Raw genomic sequence first — 18,064 nt, forward strand, 5'->3', positions numbered from 1 at the left:
TTGGCCAGAACCCACCTGCAAGGAAGGCTAGAAAATGCAGTCTTTATTCTAGACAGCTGTGTATCTAGCGAAAAATCAGGGATTCTCTTCCAATGGAGAAAAACAACATATATTGGAGGACAACTATTGATCTCTGCAGAAGACTAATAAGAGTAATTAAAACTAATTAAGACTGTGTGCTCCAGCAATTCTACTTGCATGAGTTACCAAAAGCAAATTTATAAGGATTGTTGATGTTGCCTTGTTTGTTGTTGCAAAATTTTTCAGAAACAAAAGGGAAGTGGTTTATAAATTGCCATATATCCATATATATGTAGCTGCAGGGGTGAAGCAGTCCTCCACTTGACATGGAATGATCTCCAAGATCCATTGGAGTGAGCTACAGGACATTAGCATTACAGAAAGAGGGATGATATACACATCCGTTGGTGTGAACACAGGATGGCTCTGGAAGGTTATGGAGACCCTGGGTGCTTCAGGAGGGGGACAGAGGAATTCAGTGCCACACAGGGAGATTTATCGTTCACCAAATACCCTCCTGTACTGCATGAACCTTTTTTTTTCTTGCCATGTACATATATGACCTATTTTTAAAAAACAAACTTAAAAATTATAAAAATGGTCTCTTTTCTTCTGTTGATGCCTCTCTGCTCATTCACTGCAGCCAGCAAACTTCGGCTGACACTGTGCCATCTTGGACTGCATGTGGATCTGATGGTCAAATCCCTGCTGGCCCCAACCCTTACCCCGCTCACTCAGAATGCCGTGAGCTTGCCTTCCCTGATTACCAGGCTTTTACATGAGCTGAGAGGCCCCGATAAAGTATGCCATTCAGGGGCACCCTGCAGTACCCCCTGCAGCCCAGGAGTCCAGCTCACTGGCCGTACTGTTGGCCCTGTCCGCTATCAACCCTCCAGGCCCTCCCAGGGAGCCTGACACATTGGCCCCACAGACATGAGCTGTGTTGGAGCTTGTGCCCTCGGCACCCCATTCCCCCCTAAAAAAAAAAGGCTGATCGCGGAGGCGGGCAACAGCCTGATCCTCAGGGTCCCCACAGCCAGGGCTGAGACCTCCCCAGGCTCTGAAGCATGCAGTTGGCTGTGTCCTGGATGGGCTCCTCCTCTCCAACTCTGGGGATTACATAACTGGCAGCAACTCCCTTTCACTCTGGCTGCCAAAAAGCTCAAAGCCGAACTCAGGTACAAGGGCAGTGGCAGGGACAAGTGGGCCCCTCTCCCCTACTCATGCCTTATGATCCCAGTGCTTTGCTCTGATTTACTCCCATTTTCAGCCAACCACACCCATCCTTATGACAAACATCAGTCCCCGAGTCCTGTCTGCTGGGGGCCTACTATGTGCCAAGCACTATTCTTGAGGCTAAAAATAAGAGCTATCCTTATCGTTCATTACTGTACGCCAGCCACTCGTGCTTAGTGTTTTCCAATCCTTACAAAAGGCCCTGCAGGATGGGTCTTCTCCGCATTTTACAGATGGCAATAGTAAGTCCATTCTGCGTTTTAATGGAGCTGAGCAGAGAGAACCGGCTGCCCAAGACAACAGTGTGTGTCTGACAAAGGGAGAGGGGCTGGCTCACAAAACATAGTTCTCCTCTCTCTCCATGTCTGTCCCCCCTACTCAGATGGGCCCAGGGGCAGGGGCAGCGGCAGCTGGGATCCTGTTTCTCTTCACCTCCCCAGCAGCCAGCCCAGGGCTTGGGCACTGGGGACTGCTCCTTGGTTGAGCAGAGGCCCCCTGAGCCTCCCAGCCCCTCACCCAGCCCTCAGGCTCCTGAAAGGAACCAGCCCCAGTATTCCTGCAAAACCTCCACATTAGCACCTTCTGCTCCTTTTCCTTTTTATTAAAAAATAGATCAAGAAAATATACACACTTCAGTCCATCCACCATGGTGGATGCTTTGAGGAGGCCAAAGCACCATGGGGATGGGATGGAGGCATTGGGAGAGCCAGCCCTGCCCTCGTGCCAAGGGTGCAGAGAAGGAGGGTGCCCTCAGCCAACCTTGCCAAGCATGGCCCTGGAAGGAAAGCCTGGGCCATGTCACTGAGCAGTATGAGAGCAGGTGGGAAGGGGAGGAGGGTCCCCAGTGAGAGCAGAGATGGCAAAGGGGATTGGGAGCCCCAGGGAGGTGGGGCCTCCAGACTCATGGTGGGAACAGGGCCACACAGGGCTACTGCCCACAGAACGTCCCTTGACCTGGTCCTCCTCCCCTGGGGACTCTGGGCCTGCTGGCCTCCTCTCTGGCCTGTCCTCCACAGGCCCTGGCAGCTGCCCTCAGGCATTGATGGCCTTCCAGCGCTCGCTGTCTGTGCTGTTGATGCTGCCAGTGTGGCAGGGCATGGAAGCGATGTCATCCAGGTAGGCCACCCCGCCGGCAGAGTCGAACTGCGTGCTCGAGTAGCTGGCAGCTGAGGCCCCAGCAGCCCCTGCAGCCTCCAGGCCCTCCCGCCGGGCCACAGCGTAGGGCTGGGGTAGGTGTACATCTGGCTCCTCTGTCTCGTCCACTTGGCATTTGTAGGAGAAGAGGATCTTGGGCTCCGAGCTGATAAAAGGAAAAGAGGGGCATGGAAGCCTCACTGAGTGATTCAGGAAGAGCCTTCCTCTCCAGGCTGATGGGGCCACCAGATAAGGAAGGAATTGACCAACAGTCGCCTGACACCCACTCTGAGTGGGCCTGTGAGCTGGACCCCAGAGCCCATCTAGACTTGTTTTGGAACCCAGCCCTCCTCCCCCTGGCTGTGTGAGCTCAGGCGGGGGGCATCTGTGCCTGCTTCCTCATGGTGAAATGGGTGTGTGGACACCGTGTGGAGGAAGAATGGACATAAATCATGAGGCTTCAACAGTGCCTGCCCAAGCACTCAGGAGACATTGGCTGTGGCCTCCGCCCCCACTCCTGTGACCCCTGCTGCTCATGTTACCACCCACTCCACTCTGACCTCGTCCCTCGGCCCTCAGGGCAACTCTCCAAGGGGGACACACTACACCCAATTTACAAAAAGGAGCCTGAGGCTCAGGGGAGAAATTGTGTGCAAAGATCCAAGCTGGGGCCATGGACCAGTCTGGCCCTCTCCCAGCTTCACCCAGGTGGGAGGCTGATCCCCTCCCCACAAGACCTGGCAGGTGAGAAAGGGGGGACAAAACACCCACATTCCGACCACATTAAGGTCTGGAGTGGGACCCCCAATCCCATGTCTTCAGCATCCCATCTCACAGACGCTTCTGCAGATGCACATGTGCACAGCAGTGTACTCACCCCCAGAGAATCCAACTGACTTCCCACCCCAAACCTGCTCCCCACTTAAGTCTTCCCCCAACAGGGTACAAGCTTTGTGAGGACAGGATTTGCATCCGCTGTGGGCCTCGCATCTTCTGGCTCTAGCAGTGTCTGGCACACAGTAGGTGCTCAATGAATGCTTGCGAATGAATGAGTTAATATATTATTAAATAAAAACCAGCAATGTAGAACACCGTGCATAGTCACTCTCTCTCTCGTGGGGAGAGTATGTCTGTGTGTACTGTACATACAATGTGCATATATATGTATGTATATGTGGATATGTGCATATATCTACATGTATGTATATGTTGAGCACGTGTTCATGTGTGTATGCATGCATGTGGGTGTGCACGTGCATGTTTGTGTGCATATGCCCGTGTGTATCCGTATGTGCGTGTTTGTGTGTGCATGTGCATGTGTGCATGCTTGTGCATCCGTGTGTGCATGTGCACGTGTCCATGCACATGTGGGTGGGTGTGCGTATATCTGTGTGCATGTGCATGTGTATCTGTATGTGTGTGCCCAAGTGCATGTATGTATGTGCGTGCGCATGCGCACTGTATGCATACACAGCCTCTCAGCTTCAATCCTCACACCCATGCTGGAAGAAGGCGCAGTTCCGCCGGCAGCCACGCGGGGGCGCCGGCGGCCACAGACTCACCCGAAGAAGCCCCGGAGGAAAGCCACGTAGATGAGCGGAGCGAAGAAGCTGAAGTACAGGAAGGTTGTGGCATCTACACAGCTGCGGAGAAGGCGGGTCAGCGCGGGGCCTCCTAGCCCCATGCTGACTCCACACCTCCCCATGCCCCCAGCGGGTGGACACCCTGCCGCCCACTTCCCATGCCCCCACGAGGCAGACACCCTGCGGCCCCCACGCACCAGAGCCCCTCGATGATGTCGAAGCACAGCAGCACACTCCCCAGCCCCTGCAGTAGGTTGAGCAGTGCCAGGATGCCCGCATACACGTAGAAGCTCCTCCGAGCTGGGGGCCGGACAGGGTGGGTCGTGAGGTCCCACCCTGGACAGGCCAGGCTCTGCCTCCAGCACCTACTACCCTCAAGCCTGGTGTGTCCCCCGGGGCCCCTCTAGGCCTCCCTCTCACCCAGGGCTCTCCAGCTCCCAGCCTGGAACTCTACAGCTCCAGCTCCCAGCTACCAGCTCTACAGTGGCCCGGTAGACTCCCTCCCATCCCCGCCTGTCCCAGAGCCGCCGGCCAGCTGCTCACAAGGCAGGGAGATGCGCTCCTTCAGCGGGGTCTTGGGAAGGATGACCACCAGAGAGTAGACCTACAGAGACAGGCAGGGCTGAGAAGGTGCTGGGGGCGCCAGCCCAGACCCACAGCCAGAAACCCAGGAATCCAATCCCTACCTGGCCCTAAGGCCCCAGCCACCCCAGCTGCCCCAGCCTGAACCTCACCAGGAAGAAGAAGCAGGAGCTGACCAGCCAGAACTGGCGGCCCCCATGGCCATAGATATTAAAGTCCTCAGCTGAGAGATGGGCATCAGGGTACAGGATCTCCAGGGTCCCCTGCAGGGGCAAGCAGGAAGGGAGGAAGGGAGAGGATCTCAAGGCTTCTCTCTCCCAGGGGCTTTCCCTGATGCAAAGCCCCCTAAGCTCTCCACCACACCAAGTTCAGCCTCTTGGCCTGACCCTCAACTCACCTGCCCCAGTCTGCTCCCTGGCCATGTCCTGCCCAACTGATTGCAGCATCCAGAGCCGGCCCAGTCTTGGGCTGAGTCACATGGGGAAGGGGGCAGAGATGGACAAGGTGCAGTCCCTGCCCCCAATCTAAGAAAGGGGCCTCTAGATGCATGCTTCTCAGGGGGGTCTGCGGACCTGCACCATCCCTACCTGAACTCCTTATTAAAACGGCAAGTCCTGAGCCTCCCATCCTGGCGCCCTGGCCCACTGGATCCAAATCTCCAGGGGACCCCAGAATGTGCCTCGGTAACAAGCACCCCATGTGATTTCTCAGGTGCAAAGTTTTGAGAACTCTGAAGGTGATAAAGACTGGAAACCTGACCCAGACCCAGAAGCAGTGGGTGCCTGGTGCCCTGACTCCTAGCGTCCCCTGCCCACACTCACCCTCTTACCTGGGTGACAGAGTAGGCCAGGGACAGCACTGTGGTGATGGCCAGCACCCGCTTGATGCTGGACTTACTCTCCAGGTGGCCTGGAAGAAACATGCTGGTCAGCAGGCAGGAGCCAGCCCAGGTGACCACTCCAGAGTCAGCCCACAGCCAGGGAGGGGCAGGGGAGAGCATCGCCAGGGCCCAAGAGCCCAGCGGTACACACACCAAAGGCCAGGCCCAGGATGATCACACTCAGCTCGATGGCCAGCAGGAAGAAGCGGGTGATCTCCCACAGGATCTGCACGCAGAGTGGGCACAGCGTCAGCCTGGACCAGCATCCCCAGCCCACCCCAGGCCAGGCCTCCCTGGCCTCCCTCAGAGGGCCCAGCCGCACCTTATCAGCAACAGTTGCAGCGTTCGAGGTGCTCACCGTCATGGATACCACGGCCCGGGCAATGCCCACCAGCGCCACCACAAACACCTGGTGGGCAAGGGAGTGGTGTGGCAGTCAGGGAACAAGAGCCTCTGCATCGGCAGGGGCAGCAAGCCCACCCCCATATCTACAGGAGCCTTTGATTCCTGAGGTCGGAAAGGAGGAAGGCGCAAAGTCAGGGTGGGACACAGGGAGGTGGGGATCACTCCAGGAAGCAAGGCTCACAGAGTTGCAGACCCTCAACTGCAGGTGACTTCCAGCCTGGCCCTCCCTCTCGGGGCCCCAGCTTCCTGGCTAGCACCAACAGCCTTGGGCTGGTGAGCAGGAGTGCGCATGGTGGAGCCAGATGGGCCAGGTTCACATCACAAGCAGCACGCTGCTGCTTCCTGGCTCTGTACCTTAGCTTTCTCATCTATAAAATGGGGGCAGAAACAAAACCTACTGTGTTTGATTGTTGGGTCAAATGGATTAACAGATGCAGCAGAAGCCTGCCTGGCACCCAGGAAGGGCCAAGTATACATTTGCTGTTATTACCGTATTCATGGTTTTAATTCTGAGGCATGCGGGACCAGGCAAAAGGTCACCGAGAAGAGGTGCAGAGACCTCTAGGGAAGCCACCAGCCCAGCAGGTTTCACAAAGTGCCTGCTCAGCATCTGTGGTGCTTATCGGCCTGGTATATCCATCCCCTTCCTCTCCCTTCTCACCCCCACTTCGGTGGTTCCAGGTGAGGCTGAGTCCACCGCTCCTGGCTTCAGGGATGGGCCTGGGACGCAGCACTGGCCAGTGGTGTGTGCCATTCCCCTGGCCTCAGGGCTAGTTCAGGGAAGGGCATAGGCCCCAAGGGAGCCTTGTGAGAGAGACCCAGGATGTCAGGTGGGGCTGCTGGGAAAGGCAGACGGACAGCATGCAAGCCTGGCACCATGGACACCACCCTGCTGCCACAAGGGCAGATGGCGAGAGAGCAGGGCCATCGGGGAGATCCCAGGCTGAGTGGGAGATGGAGATGGTGCCCCAGCAGCACTGCTGTGCCCCCAAATCCTGCTGTGCCTGAGGCCCAGGAACTGCCCAGTTTCTCAGTCAAAAACTGGCTTCTGTGAGTCTCAGTTGGGTCTTCTGACACATGCCCAGATCCATATATACTCTGTCTTTTGTGCCATGAGAAATTGTGTCAGCAGGGCAGGCAGTAAAAGCAACAAACTACCACACGCCTACTGTATGCCAGGCTCCCACTGGGCTGCAGCTATGCAGACGACTTCATAGGTGCTCACATGAACACCATAGCTAAAGCAGATCAACATCTGTTATGCAGAAGGGCACTGGGGCACAGAGAGACCAAGCCACTGGCCCCAGGTCACACAGCAGCATGGCTGGGGTTCAGAGCTGGACTTCCTGAGTCCACTCTTAACACTGCCTCCTGAACTCTTTAGGACAAAGTCCCCAAAAGTTGATGGGCTGGGCCCTGTTATATGTTCCTGGACATTTAGCCCTGGCTCTTTCTCCCTGCCTGCACTCCCCCTTACCCCACAAAAGGACATCTGCCTAGCATACAGTAGGTGTTTAATATCTGTTGAATAAATACACAAATGAATAAATGGTGAGAGAAGCAGTGGGAGAGAAGCAAAGAAAGCAGGCCTCAGTTCCCAGTCCTGTCTACCACCATCTTGTAGGTGTGAGGGACATCAGGCCACTACAACCTCCAGGCTTCCCCAGCCCCTTGTCTGTCTCTCTGCCTGCCCACAGCCCACTCCTCTGACTGGGAAGTTCTGGGCTAGACCACAAGGAGGGGACCAGGGAGCCACTCAGCTCTCATGTGGTGGTATCTAAGGGCCACAGAGAAGGGAGGACTCCAGTCAGGCAGGCCCTGCAGACAGGGGAAGGGCGCCCTGAAGGAAGGCAGCTGGACAGCCCACACCCGAAGCCCACACCAGGACAGCCCGCACCGGAAGCCTACACCTGGAGAGCCCACACCCGAAGCCCACACCTGGACAGCCCACACCTGAAGCCCACACCTGGCACCTATACTGGGACAGCCCACACCTGGAGCCTATACCAGGAGAGCCCACATTTGGAGCTGCCTTCTCAACCACAGCCCTGACACCTCTCCCCAGGCAACACGTGCCAGGACCACCAAGTGGTGACAATGCAGGCTCTCCCAGCAAGTAAGATGTCTTCTCCAAAGAGGTTTCACAGAATGGACAGATGGGGGACGAATGGATGGAGGATGCAGTGGGCATTTTCCCCACCCAGCATCCATTCCCCTCCCCTCTAGTACCAGCTCCCCAATTCTGTTGTGGGCTCCCTCAGTCCATATGGTCCAGCTGAGCTGATGCTGCCCTCCCAGCTTCACAGTGCCCCTTTCCTTGCTAGCCACAGTGCTTGGCTCAGGGATGAGGATGGGATCCTAGGTGGGCCAGTCAGAGGAAATCCCAGGTCTACACTGGCACTATCAGCAAACAGGCACTGTTTGCCTGAGTTGTAGAGGCAGGATGTTAGCTCAAAGTTGCTCCTGGCCATCTTTGACACCATATGAGGGGAACTCATCTGAGATAAGTCCCAAAGAGATCAGAGATGCAGAAACAGATCCTAACGATATCATTTAACTGCCTGGATCCAGCCATACCTGAAGCTTATTTTCATTATAGAAGCAGTTAATTCCCTTTTTGTTTAACCCAGTTGGAGTTGGCTTTTCTGTCAACTGCAGTGAACTCACCAGGATGTAGAAGGTGATAAAAATGGGGCTGGAGGTGATGCGGATCTTCGCCCGAGCAGATGGAAGCTTCCAGAGCAGGAAGATGAGGAAGAGCACATTGGGGATGAGCAGCAAGAGGTCCCAGTACCGGACCCTGGCGGATGGGCACAGGAGCTGGCTCACTGGCGAGGCCACATATGCACCCCCTCTCCAAGACACAATCTGCCCCACCCTCACCACCCCCCTACACCAGGAAAAGCCACTGACACTCAGCGAGCCTGCCCAGCGTTGTGACTGCCTCACCTGGAGGTGCCAATGTCTTCGTAGAGCAGCAGCAGGCAGCGATGAGGCACACTGATGTTTGGTGCCAGGGGTGGGGGTAGCGCTGTGCTCCCATTGGCCCAAGTCACCTCCTCCAGGGTGTCCATCCCGCCAGCAGCCAGCCCTGGGGGAGTGAGAGCCGCCCAGTGAGCTGTGTGGCCTGGGCCACTGTCCTCCTTCCCCTGGACCTGGGACTCCCAGGGGAAAATCAGAGGGGCTGCACAGAGCACCCCTGTAAACCACCCTCCCCACCCACTGCAGCTCAGTGTGGGGCTCCACACAGGTCACGACCCAATCCCCCAGGCAGGGGCCCAGTCCCCCATCTCAGGCTCTATCTCACGACCTGCAAATAGTCTAACAAAGCCACCCCCTCAGCTAAGCATCTCCATGTGCAAGGCACAGCCACTTGGCTCCTTTCAGTCCTGAGGGCCCATGAGAGCAGCGTGGGTAAGAGCATAGGCTCTGGGTTCACAGCCCAGCCCTGCCCCTTCCTTCCTGTCCTCTCCGTGCCTGTGTCCCCCCACCATGGAATGGGTGTAACAAGTGAGGCTGTGGTGATGCCGAGTGCCTCAAACAAGGCACACACGTGAGGAGTTCTTGGTAGCGGTCAGCCATGGTTCTGACCTGCCACACCATGCAGAACTCAGAGGCCACTGACTTGTGTGAGGCCACAGCGCTGCTGAGGGCCAGAGCTGAGCACCATGCCCTCCTCGGTTGCACCCTCTGGCCCTTGTCTCCCTCTGCCACCACAGACAAAGATGGAGGGGACACTGAGCCATGCCTAGAAGATGCACAGGAGGTCTCCAACTGGAGATGGGCATGGGGGAAGAGGCTGTACCACAGAGGGGCAAGGCAAGTGTGTCTGCAATGGCCACGCTGCAGGGTGAAGCCAGGGACAGGGTGGGTCCATAGGCCAGAGGTCCACATGACACTCTGAGCATGAGAGGTCGAGTCTAGCCTGGAAGACAGGAGAGCTGGTGGTCTGGGGTCCTGGGAACCACTCTGGGGTTAGGGGACTGAGGGTCTGGTCGGAAAACCAAGACTCCTAAGCTAGAGGACTCTCAGGAGGCAGCAACAGGTACTTCCGCAGGGAGTTCGGGGTGATCCAGGTGTGGCCTGGGGCACCAGAACGTAACAGATGCCAACATTTAGAATGATTTGAACAGATTGGGCCAGATGCCTGTGACTCTGCTTCACCAGGAATGCTTGTAAAGGCTGTGGATGACAGCCCCAGGCGGGGAGCAGCCCCAGAGCATGGGCATAAATGGTGGCAGGTTCCTACGGTTGACACTTGCACAGCATAAAAAGAACAACCCACTGCTACAGGCAACACGAATGACTCTCAGAAGTGATATAGCGTGAAGCCAGGCACAAGGGCCGACAGGCGTATGATCCGTGGAGAAATGCAGACAGGGCGCCTTTGGGGAGATGAAGCGCATGGTAATTGGGGGAGGCCTGCCAGCGTCTGGGTGTCAGATCCAGGTGGTGGGTACACAGGTGTGTTCACTGTGTGGTAATTCATCAAGCCACACACCGATGACTCCTAAGTCATAGGTGTACTTCAGTAAATTTTAAAAAGTAAAAAAGATGTGGCCGGGCGCGGTGGCTCATGCCTGTAATCCTAGCACTTTGGGAGGCCGAGGCGGGCAGATTGCCTGAGCTCAGGAGTTCGGGACCAGCCTAGACAACATGGTGAAACCCCATCTCTACTAAAATACAAAAAAAAAAAAAAATTAGTTGGGCATGGTGGCATGTGCCTATAGTCCCAGCTACTCAGGAGGCTGAGGCAGAAGAATTGCATGAACCCAGGTGGCGGAGCTTGCAGTGAGCCGAGATGGTGCCACTGTGCTCCAGCCTGGGCGACAGAGCGAGACTCCATCTCAAAAAAAAAAAAAAAAGAAAAAGAAAAAAGATTTGTCCCGACAACACATCAAAGGCCCAGGCCTCCCCTTCAGCAAGGAGCCGCCCAGTGAGCTGCATGCCTGTCAGCAAGGTCTGCAGAAACGCAACAGGAGCCCTGCTTGTGTTGTCACCAAAGCTATCCCTGAACAATAGCAGCCCAAGACAGGGGTGGGGGGACTTAGGAATATTTCCATTGCTGGTCCAAGCCCTTAAACACCAGAACACCTCTGGATGAAAGGGAGGGAAGACTCTGAAGGGGGCGGGCCATGGGCTGGGGCTCAGGTTGCTCCAGTGGGCCACTCACTGGCTCTGGGATCAAGTCCCCATCTAAACAGTAAGGACAGCAGGGTGTAGTGACTCACACTTGCAATCCCAACACTTTGGGAGGCTGAGGAGGGAGGACTGCTTGAGCTCAGGAGTTCCAGACCAGCCTGGGCAACATAGCAAGACCTCATCTCTACAAAAAATACAAAAATTGGCCGGGTGCGGAGGCTCATGCCAGTAATCCCAGCACTTTGGGAGGCCAAGGCAGGCGAATCACTTGCGGTCAGGAGTTCAAGACAAGCCTGGCCAACATGCCAAAACCCCATCTCTACTAAAAAATACAAAAATTAGCCAGGCATGGTGGCGTCCAGCTGTAATGCCAGCTACTTGGAAGGCTGAGGCAGGAGAATGGCTTGAACCCGGGAGGTGGAGGTTGCAGTGAGCTGAGATCGTGCCACTGCACTCCAGCCTGGGCAACAGGGCAAGACTCTGTCTCAAAAAAAAAAAAAAAAAGGCTGGGCACGGTGGCTCACACCTGTAATCCCAGCACTTTGGGAGGCTGAGGTAGGTGGATCACCTGAGGTTGGGAGTTTGAGGCCAGACTGACCAACATGGAGAAACCCCGCCTCTACTAAAAAAAAAAAATACAAAATTAGGGCCAGGCACGGTGGCTCACGCCTGTAATCCCAGCACTTTGGGAGGCCAAGGCGGGTGGATCACCTGAGGTCAGGAGTTCGAGACCACCCTGACCAACATGGAAAAACCCTGTCTCTACTAAAAATACAAAAAAATTAGCCGGGCATGGTGGCACATGCCTGTAATCCCAGCTACCTGGGAGGCTGAGGCAGGAGAATCCCTTGAACCCGGGAGGCATAGGTTACGTTTAGCTGAGATCACACCATTGCTCTCCAGCTTGGGCAACACAGCAAGACTCCGTCTCAAAAAAAAAAAAAAAAAATTAGCCAGGCATGGTGGTGCATGCCTGTAATCCCAGCTACTCAGGAGGCTGAGGCAGGAGAATCACTTGAACCCAGGAGGCAGAGGTTGCGGTGAGCTGAGATCACACCATTGCTCTCCAGCCTGGGCAACAAGAGTGAAACTCCATCTCAGAAAAAAAAAAAAAGAAACAAACAAACACAAAACTTAGCCAGGTATAGTGGTGCATACCTGTAGTCCCAGCTAATAGGAAGGCTGAGGTGGGAGTATGGCTTGAGCCCAGGAGTTCGAGGCTGCAGTGAGCTATGATCGTGCCACTGCACTCCAGCCTGGGTGACAGAGTGGGACCTTGCCTCAAAAAAGAATAAATTAATTAATTAAAAATAATAAAATGAGGCCATAGCTGCAATCTTCAAGTGATGGGGAATATTAAAGAGAACAAATGCCTGACACATAGTAGATCCTAAGAAAGAAGATGGCTCCTTCCCTACTGTTGGGAGGGGGGCAAAGAAGCCCACCCTTCATTCACACATGCTTTTTTTTTTTTTGAGACATTGTCTTGCTCTGTCTCCAGGCTAGAGTGCAGTGGCGTGATCTCGGCTCATTTCAACCTCTGCCTCCCAGGTTCAAGCGATTCCCCTGCCTCAGCCTCCCGAGTAGCTGGGGCTACAGGCACGTGCCACCATACCCGGCTAATTTTTTGTATTTTAGTAGAGACGGGGTTTCATCACGTTGGCCAGGATGGTCTCGATCTCCTGACCTCGTGATCCGCCCACCTCGGCCTCCCAAAGTGCTGGGATTACAGGTGTGAGCCACCATGCCCAGCCCACACGTGCTTTTATTTGCTCAGCAGACCTTAACTAGCACCTACTGGGTGCCAGGCACAAGTCTAGGTGGTTGGACGTGGCACGGAACAGAGCAGACAAGGCCCTGCCCTCACAGCAAGGTGAAGCCAACAACAAGCATGAAAACCCTATTTAAAAAGCAAACTTGGAAAAAAAAAAAAAAGCAAACTTGACAGGGCACAGTGGCTTACACCTGTAATCCCAACACTTTGGGAGGCCGAGGTGGGAGGATCACTTGAGCCCAGGAGTTTGAGACCAGCCTGAGCAACACAGCAAGACGCTATTTCTACAAAAAGTTTAAAAAACTAGCCAGGTATGGTGGTGCATACCTGTAGTCTTAGCTACTCGGTGGGGCCGAGGTGGAAGGATCACTTGAGCCCAGGAGCTCCAGGCAGCAGGCAGCAGCAAGCTATGATCACACCACTGCACTCCAGGCTGGGCCACAGAGTGAGACCCTGTCTAAAAAAAAAAAAAAAAAAAAAAAAAAAAAAAAAGAAGCAAACTTCTAGAGATAAATGCTAAGTGAAGAAAACAGAGAGGTGGAGCAGAATGACAAGAAACACAGTAGAGACTGCTGGGTTCCCCCAACATCTACCCTTCCCTTTAGTGATGGAACCAATGGAGTTTAGCTTACACATCGCTTCCCAGCACAATGGGGACCTTTCCCAGCTTCCCTGCAACTGGGTGTGGCCATGTGGCTGAGTTTTATCCAACTGGACACGAGCTGAGACAGGCTGACAGTCCTTCAGCCTGTCATTTGATCTAATCCCATGGTGTGAAGACATAAACTCTAAAACAGAGGCCCAACAAAGATAAAAACCCTGACTTGTCTTTAAAAAGAACTTTTTTTTTGTTATAAACATATGACACGAGCAGAGTGAGGTCTGCTAATTTCAGATCATGCCCTCCTCCCTTCCCGGTGGCTGGAATATAGATACGACAGTGGGAGCAAGAGCAGCCTCCTCAGACCACGAGGCAGAAACCCTGTACGAGGGTAACAGAGCAATGAGAAAGAAGGTGTCTGGGTCCCCAGCACAATGAGGCCTCCGTGCATGTACTGGACAGCTTGCACAGAGGCTGCCTGCATAGATAAAAATAATCTATTTTATTATCCTAGCCTTTGTTTCAACAGCTAGCCCAAATCCCAATGAATATAAAGGTACTGCTTGGACTGGGTAGTCAAACAAGGTGACATTTTGAGCCGAGATCTCAATAAATAAGCAGGAGCCAGCCTTGGAAAGATCGAGATAAAGAACATTCCAGGGAGAATCACCTAAGATCCAGATGCACAAGTCCAGAGGTAGAAACAGGTTTGGCCTGTCCCAAGGGCAAAAAACAGGCCAGGGTAGCTGATACCAGAAAGGTTGGCAGGGCCAGGTCCCACATGCAACTCGACTTCACTCTAAGTGCAACCAGAAGGGTGTTACAAGGAGTGAGAGGTCTGGTTTCCATGGGGACAGGATGCCAGTGAAAAGGGACTGAAGTGGAGGAGGAACAGAGACAGGGAGGCCATGAGGAGCTCCTGCAACAGTCCATGCATGAGAGGACAGAGGCTTGCACTAGTGGCAGCAGTGCAGGTGGAACAGAGGGACTTGGGAGACCTTTGGGAGGCTTGGCCAACAAGACCCACTGACAGATCAAACACAGGGAATGAGAGAAGAGGCCAAAGACGGCTGATGGTGCAGTTTCTGGCCTGAGTCACTGGATGTTTTGCAACTGAGGCCAACACTGACCACCAGACACTGTCCCCTTCTTCCTCACTAACAAGCTACTATTTTGTTCAGGATCCCTCCATAAAACCTAGTGTTCAAGCAGGGGCCCCTCCCCAGGACCAGAAGTTGAGTCTCCATTAATTTCAGCCAATGGTCTCTGGGGTGGAGCCGGTGTGGAGCACTGCTCTAGTTTGACATGGCAACTGCTAGGGAATGGAGGACTGTGGATTTTTTTGTGTGCAGGGTCCAGGGCTGCCAAATGTCTGCAATGCATAGGACAGTCTGCCAAATGAGTAACTAACTGTCTTCCCCTACAGCTAGCATGCCCTGCAGAGTGGCTCTGGTCGAAGTCAAGAAGGGTGGCCCTTCTGCTCCTGGCCAGCAGTTGGTTGAGGCAAAGGCATGTGATGCCTCATGGGGGGATCTGTGCCTGTGTGGGGTGTCCAGAACTGTCTTCCTGCACCCCTGGAGGACTGGGCCACCACGCTGAGCATGCAGGAGCTTACAGCTGGAAGCGGGTGTGCAGCGCGCCTCCTGCATGACTTCTGGTGGCATGAGATAATAACTTGTAACTTTGAGTTGAGAGTATCAGTGACCTGATGAAGGAGGGAGATTCTACAGCCCTCTCCTCCCCACCCCATTATTTATTTATTCATATATTTTTCAGACAAAGTCTCACTCTGTCACCCAGGCTAGAGTGCAGTGGTGCAATCTCAGCTCACTGCAACCTCTGCTTCCCAAGTTCAGCCTTCTGGGTTCAAGGAGTCTTCCCATCTCAGCCTCCCAAGTAGCTAGGATCACAAGTGTGCACCACCACACCTGGCTAATTTTTGTATTTTTAGTAGAGACAGGGTTTTGCCATGTTGGCCAGGCTGGTCTAGAACTCTGGACCTCAAGTGATCCACCTGCCTGAGCCTCCCAAAGTGCTGAGATTACAGGTGTGGGCCACCATGACCAGCTATCCCCACCCCTATTATAAAGCCAAGCCAGGCAGAGTGAACGCCTGGTCCTAGCAGCCCAGCACCAACTCTGACCCAGAATGGAATGTCACGCAGCCCCAAGACGGGCAGGGCCAGGGTGCAGGCCAGGCACCCAGCAGTCACCAGCAAGCTGAGAGGCCCCTTGAGGCACAGAGGCCAGTGGGGAGGAACAGGGGCAGGGAGTAGGAGAGTGGGGGAGTCAGGCAGAGTCCAGGGTATGGAGGGCGGGGTGGGCTTCTGGTTTTGCCTGCCCAGCATCCAGGCTGCTGCCAGTTGGTAAGAGCACCGTTTTCCTGAGGTGGAAACTCAGCTCCCAGACTCTAGACTCTCTGGAAGTTTAGGGATGCGTGACTAACCCTTCACAACCCAGGGAATGCACCTGTGATCTAAGTCTGGCTAGTCAGGATGTTCCATCACCCTGGCCAATGAAAATCTGCCCTGAGGCTTTTGATCTAAATTATTATTAGAATAAATTATTAGAGCAAAAGTCTCAGGGCAGATTCTCATTGACAATTGAGGAAACACTCTCTGCTGAGCTCAGTAAGTCAGGGCTGTACCACCTTGACCTCACGCTCAGGTACCCGCCTCAGAGTAAAGCCGACGCGGAGGAGTGGAGAGCTGAGACACGGATGGAGACAGATCTTGATGAGCTCACTGGAGCCCCTGGATTCAGCCACATCCAAAGCCAGTCCTACCCGCTTGGACTTTTCAGTTATAAAACCCAACAAATCCCCTTTTCTGCCTAGGCCAGTTTGAGTCTGACTTCTCTAATTCACCAGTGAAAAACCTCCAGCTAACACAGATTTTGGAGTCAACAAGACGGGGCTGCACTGCTGGTTCTGCCACGTGCTTGCTGTGTGACCTGGGGTGAGTCACTCCCCCTCCAAGTATCATGGGGACAACATCTGCCTAATAAGGGTGCCGTAAGGATCAAACAAAACCAGGGATGTAAACATCTACAAAAGTGACACATGTACAAAGGTGGTTGCTGCTTTTCTTTTTTTTTTTTTTTTTTTGAGACAGAGTCTTGCTCTGTCGTCCAGGCTGGAGTGCAGTGGCGCGATGTCGGCTCACTGCAACCTCCACCTCCCGGGTTCAAGCAATTCTCCCACCTCAGCCTCCCAAGTTGCTGGGATTACCAGAGAAGAGACTGAAGGGCAAGGAGGGAAAGGAATTGGTTCCCAGGTCCATGGACCTCTTGTGAAGCCCCCATTGCTGTGGGGTCTGAGGAAACACAGAGGAGGTGTCAGCTGCTCTGCCTGCCCCCACTCCCCTGCCAACAACGTAGTAACCTCTGTGCCTAACCTCTGAGCCCTGGCCTCCAACCCTGGGAGGGAGGTACTTATGTTATCCGCATTGTGCACGTGGAGCTCAGAGGGGCAGCCACTTGCCAGGCCAGCAATCCAGGCTGTCTGTCTCCAGAGCCCAGGCCCCCAGTCAACAACTTGCCAGGTGCCCCTCTCCAGGCCTCGGCTTCTCCACCTGTGGGTCAAGAGCACCAGGCTTGTTCTAGAGCTATCTTCTCAGACCTGATGTGGGAAATACCCTGGTGTTGTTAACATGCAGATGCTGCTCCCAAGGGCAGGGGTAGGGCTGAACAGTCTGTGTTTCCCACAGGCTCCCAGGTGGTGCCCCTGCTGCTGCTACTTGATCCAGCAACCACACTGGGGTTATGGGGCTGCTGGCCATACCAGGATTGCCATTACGTATCAAAGCTTAGGAAATAACTGAAGCACTGACTTTTTTTTTTTTTTTTTTTTGAGACAGAGTCTCGCTTTGTCACCTAGGCTGGAGTGCAATGGTGCGATCTTGGGTCACTGCAACCTCCGCCTCCTGGATTCAAGCGATTCTCCCGCCTCAGCCTCCTGAGTAGCTGGGATTACAGGTGTGCACCACCACACCCGGCTAATTTTTGTATTTTTAGTAGAAATGGGGTTTCACCATGTTGGCCAAGCTGGTCTCAAACTCCTGACCTCAGATGATCCACCCACTTCAGCCTCCCAAAGTGCTACGATTACAGGCATGAGCCACTGCGCCTGGCCCGCACTGACTTTTAGTTAATAGGATGCACACTTCCTATGTGCAGACATGGTGCTCAGTGCTTTACACGTGGTGACACACTTAACAATGGCATCGCCTTCTAAGGGAGAGAGGACAATTACTGTCCCCTTATACAGAGGAGAGGAGAGGCAGAGAAGGGGTCAGTCCTCAGCCTTCTCTACTTAGTTCTCTTAGACTGATGCTCCCAAGCACTGACAAAGAAGTGGGAGGGGTTGGTCAGCTCACGATAGGGGCCTAAGGGTGGTGAGAAGGGGTGGTGAGAAGGGGTGGAGCCCAGGGGTGATTCTCAGAGGAGGAATTCCTGCGGTGCAGAGCACCCTGGGCAACCCCAGGCCTCCCAGGAACAGGGAAACTGGGACAGACTGTTTCTTCCACCTGGGAGGAGTCTCCCAGACTCACAACATTCCAGGGGCCTCTGCCTCCCTCCCTCCCACCCAGTTGAGGGACAGGATGCTGGCTAGGCTCAGGTCATGGTCACGCAATGCAGGACCCGCTGAGAACGACTGGGTAAGGCCTTCTCTCTCCTCTCTGGGACTCAGCTTTCCCTGCTCTCTCA

At 54.4% G+C, this 18,064-nt stretch overlaps 1 protein-coding gene and 2 non-coding genes across 19 annotated transcripts in view, besides 6 other annotated features; all 3 read right to left on the reverse strand.

The window, feature by feature from the left end:
• TPRA1 (transmembrane protein adipocyte associated 1) overlaps window positions 1-18,064 on the reverse strand; it is a 27,000-nt gene continuing 8,936 nt past the window's right edge. For 9 of the 17 annotated variants that reach the window (XM_047447443.1, NM_001353005.2, XM_047447440.1 and 6 more), the window contains 10 exons: window positions 8,791-8,932; window positions 8,509-8,641; window positions 5,759-5,845; window positions 5,590-5,662; window positions 5,386-5,465; window positions 4,709-4,819; window positions 4,518-4,578; window positions 4,172-4,274; window positions 3,954-4,034; window positions 1-2,557 (listed from right to left, as the gene is read on the reverse strand). In XM_047447443.1, the coding sequence (XP_047303399.1) occupies window positions 2,290-2,557; window positions 3,954-4,034; window positions 4,172-4,274; window positions 4,518-4,578; window positions 4,709-4,819; window positions 5,386-5,465; window positions 5,590-5,662; window positions 5,759-5,845; window positions 8,509-8,641; window positions 8,791-8,915 (1,122 nt within the window). In that variant the 5' untranslated portion in view covers window positions 8,916-8,932 and the 3' untranslated portion in view covers window positions 1-2,289. Of the gene's footprint in view, window positions 2,558-3,953; window positions 4,035-4,171; window positions 4,275-4,517; window positions 4,579-4,708; window positions 4,820-4,953; window positions 5,025-5,385; window positions 5,466-5,589; window positions 5,663-5,758; window positions 5,846-8,508; window positions 8,642-8,790; window positions 8,933-13,084; window positions 13,215-16,752; window positions 16,930-18,064 lie in introns of all 17 variants that reach the window. The other 8 variants (NR_148226.2, NM_001353002.2, XM_047447444.1 and 5 more) reach the window with 8 other exon arrangements.
• Window positions 3,646-4,225: an enhancer, noted in NCBI's record as "H3K27ac-H3K4me1 hESC enhancer chr3:127293720-127294299 (GRCh37/hg19 assembly coordinates)". NCBI's record gives its function as "activates a minimal SCP1, AML or CMV promoter by ChIP-STARR-seq in naive H9 embryonic stem cells {active_cell/tissue: H9 hESC(naive)}" and the evidence as "EXISTENCE:reporter gene assay evidence [ECO:0000049][PMID:30033119]".
• Window positions 3,646-4,258: a biological region, named in NCBI's record as "H3K27ac-H3K4me1 hESC enhancer GRCh37_chr3:127293720-127294299".
• On the reverse strand, window positions 4,035-4,100 carry MIR6825 (microRNA 6825). Its single transcript, NR_106883.1, has one exon. It is a non-coding gene; the product is annotated as a microRNA 6825 (primary transcript).
• Window positions 4,079-4,258: a silencer, noted in NCBI's record as "silent region_14688". NCBI's record gives its function as "represses an Ori minimal core promoter by ATAC-STARR-seq in GM12878 lymphoblastoid cells {active_cell/tissue: GM12878}" and the evidence as "EXISTENCE:reporter gene assay evidence [ECO:0000049][PMID:35858748]".
• Window positions 4,226-4,804: an enhancer, noted in NCBI's record as "H3K27ac-H3K4me1 hESC enhancer chr3:127294300-127294878 (GRCh37/hg19 assembly coordinates)". NCBI's record gives its function as "activates a minimal SCP1, AML or CMV promoter by ChIP-STARR-seq in naive H9 embryonic stem cells {active_cell/tissue: H9 hESC(naive)}" and the evidence as "EXISTENCE:reporter gene assay evidence [ECO:0000049][PMID:30033119]".
• Window positions 8,406-9,367: an enhancer, noted in NCBI's record as "H3K27ac-H3K4me1 hESC enhancer chr3:127298480-127299441 (GRCh37/hg19 assembly coordinates)". NCBI's record gives its function as "activates a minimal SCP1, AML or CMV promoter by ChIP-STARR-seq in primed H9 embryonic stem cells {active_cell/tissue: H9 hESC(primed)}" and the evidence as "EXISTENCE:reporter gene assay evidence [ECO:0000049][PMID:30033119]".
• On the reverse strand, window positions 15,880-15,945 carry MIR7976 (microRNA 7976). The gene has a single exon (NR_107016.1). It is a non-coding gene; the product is annotated as a microRNA 7976 (primary transcript).
• Window positions 17,767-18,064: part of an enhancer, noted in NCBI's record as "H3K4me1 hESC enhancer chr3:127307841-127308518 (GRCh37/hg19 assembly coordinates)", that runs on past the window's edge. NCBI's record gives its function as "activates a minimal SCP1, AML or CMV promoter by ChIP-STARR-seq in primed H9 embryonic stem cells {active_cell/tissue: H9 hESC(primed)}" and the evidence as "EXISTENCE:reporter gene assay evidence [ECO:0000049][PMID:30033119]".

The sequence above is a fragment of the Homo sapiens genome, chromosome 3 (assembly GCF_000001405.40).
Source record: "Homo sapiens chromosome 3, GRCh38.p14 Primary Assembly".
NCBI lineage: Eukaryota > Metazoa > Chordata > Mammalia > Primates > Hominidae > Homo > Homo sapiens.